General features: G+C 45.1%; 1 annotated feature.

Annotated features, from left to right (window-relative positions):
* Window positions 1,732-2,354: an enhancer, noted in NCBI's record as "OCT4-NANOG-H3K27ac hESC enhancer chr8:31096419-31097041 (GRCh37/hg19 assembly coordinates)". NCBI's record gives its function as "activates a minimal SCP1, AML or CMV promoter by ChIP-STARR-seq in primed H9 embryonic stem cells {active_cell/tissue: H9 hESC(primed)}" and the evidence as "EXISTENCE:reporter gene assay evidence [ECO:0000049][PMID:30033119]".

The following is a 2,707-nucleotide window of genomic DNA, read 5'->3' on the forward strand; positions in this document are numbered from 1 at the left end:
CCCTTTCTTTGACTAGGAAAGGGAATTCCCTGACCCCTTGCACTTCCCGGGTGAGGCGATGCCTCGTCCTGCTTTGGCTTACTCTCAGTGCATTGCACCCACTGTTCTGCATCCACTTCCCTACAGTCCCCAGTGAGATGAACCCAGTATCTCAGTTGGAAATGCAGAAATCACCCGTCTTCTGCGTTGCTCACGCTGGGAGCTGTAGACTGGAGCTGTTCCTATTCGGCCATCTTGGCTCCACCCCGCCCCCCCCCACAGACCTTTTCTCTCTCTTTCTTTTTTCTCTGTCTCTCTTTCTTTCTTTCATATTTATTCTGTTTATTGGCAGTGTGTAGTTTATTTGTGCTAATTAACTGCCTAGGGCCCTTTGTCCATCTTTCTTTTTTTATTTTTATTTAATTTTACTTTAAGTTCTGGGATACATGTGCTGAATGTATATGTTTGTTACATAGGTATACATGTGCCGTGGTGGTTTGCTGCACCTATCAACTCCTCAATCTAGGTTTTAAACCCCACATGCATTCGGTATTTGTCCTAATGCTCTCCCTCCCCTTGCCCTCTACCCCTCGACAGGCCCCGGTATGTGATGTTCCCTTCCCTGTGTCCATGTGTTTTCATAGTTCAAGTCCCACTTATGAGTGAGAACATGCAGTGGCAAACCCCTTTTTATTTCTCTCCCCTATTACTCCCGAGTGCCTTCCACTGGTCACATCCTCTCACAAGCCAGAAGACAAAGGATCCCATTGATGTTGTCTCATGGGGGTCAATCTCCTGAGCTCAATTGGTATGGGGAAAGATTGAGAGTAAATATAATAGAACAAGTAGAAGATATCCAGCCTAGGCCCTAACTGCAACATGGTGTCAAGTGCTGGCCTGCCTGGTAGACATGAGTGTCAAATTTCTTCCAGATTTATGATATGTGGTTGACCCTTGAACAACACAAGTTTGAGCTGTGAGGGTCCACTCATAATTGAATTTCCTTCTGCCTCTGTCACCCCGAGACAGCAAAACCAACCCCTCTTCCTCTTCCTCTTCTGCATACTCAATGTGAAGACAATGAGCGTGAAGACCTGTAGGATGATCCACTTCCACTTAATGAATGGTAATTACATTTTCTCTTTCTTAGGATTTTCTTAGTAACATTTTCTTTTTTCTAGCTTGCTTTATTGTAAGAACACAGTATATAATACATATAATGCACAAAATCTGTTAATGGACTGTTCATGTTATTAGTAAGGCTTCTAGTCAGACTACTAGTAGTTAGGTTTTTGGAGAGTCAAAAATTACATGTGGATTTTTGACTGCATGTGCAGTGGCTCATGCCTGTAATCCCAGCACTTCGGGAGGCTGAGGCGGATGATCACTTGAGCCTCAGGAGTTCGAGGCCAGCCTGGGCAACATAGGGAGACCCTGTCTCTACAAAAACAAAACAAAACAAAACAATCATACAAACCTCAACAACCCTCCACCACCAAAAGATATCCAGATAGCAATGTAGAAGAGACTGCCTTTGGAAACAGGAGAGAGAATCGGGAATTCAGGAGTGGGTTCCAGGCTAGAGAAGTAGATTGGGATTGGAGCTGTTCTTGTGAAGTGTATAGAGGTGGAAGTTAGGCTATTTTTTTTTTTTTCCAGAAATGTCCTAGGAATAAGGCAAACTAGAAAAGCTCTATATCTCAGGTGAGAGGAGCTACTGTTCTTCTTCTGCTCAGGAGCCAAAAGCAGGAGGGAAAGGGCACTTTGCGGGGATATGAGGGGCACACTTCAGTCACCGTTTGGTCTTAGGCTATTCCAGATAGTGCAGTTCCAGGAGGCCCTGAGCTGCTTCCCAGGGTGGCTACAGCAGAGGGTGATTCACTTGTGTGACAGCCCAGTGTAGAGGCAGGAAGTGCTGCCTCCCTCCAGGGCTGTAATTAGCAGAGGCTTTCTTGCCTTTTGTCATGATAAATGGTGCCTGCCAGGGCTTTCCTTGTGCTTAATCTATGAGAGAAATGAGTGACTCACGCCCTTTTCTGGGGCCACTTTTAAGGCACTCAAGCTTTCTTAAGCAGATTCCAGGGGAACCCCTCAGACTCCATCTGAAAGTCATCTTTATTTCTGAACGACTCATTCTCTTTCAAACAAGTTCCCACTTCTTGGGGAAAAGCAGGCTTCTGCCTTTTACTGCTTGTTTCTTAGGCTTCTTTGTGGATGTCTCCTATTTTCCAGGGTGTTTACGTAGCATAGACTAATGTTCTCTCAGATAGTGGTAAGTCACCAACCTCCACATCTTTGAAACCCACCAATTGTTCAATAGCTTGTGAGTATCAATCCAAACTCCAAACGCTTTCCTGGGAAGGTCATGAGGAAAGCAATGAGAAGAGAATCTGTCTGCAGAACAAATTTCCATTTTGGCACTCACTCAGGGTCACCAGAAGGTTCACTTCCCAAGAGCGTTGGAACTTACGTTTCTTGGATGGACACTTTAGTCTCTGAACTGATGACTGGAAAAGTCTTCAGCAGATGTGACATTGTCCAGGCCATCTGCTTTAAGGTTTAACATGCCATACCTTACAAAGCCAGAACCTGTGATCTCAAGCAACACACGGTTCGAGGTCACCTTCAGCTACCCCTGCTTGTTGCTTCAGAACAGCAGTTGTGTTACAGGAAAGGAGTCCTGATCCAGACCCCAAGAGAAGGTTCTTGGATCTTGCACAAGAAAGAA

Source organism: Homo sapiens, chromosome 8, assembly GCF_000001405.40.
Source record: "Homo sapiens chromosome 8, GRCh38.p14 Primary Assembly".
NCBI lineage: Eukaryota > Metazoa > Chordata > Mammalia > Primates > Hominidae > Homo > Homo sapiens.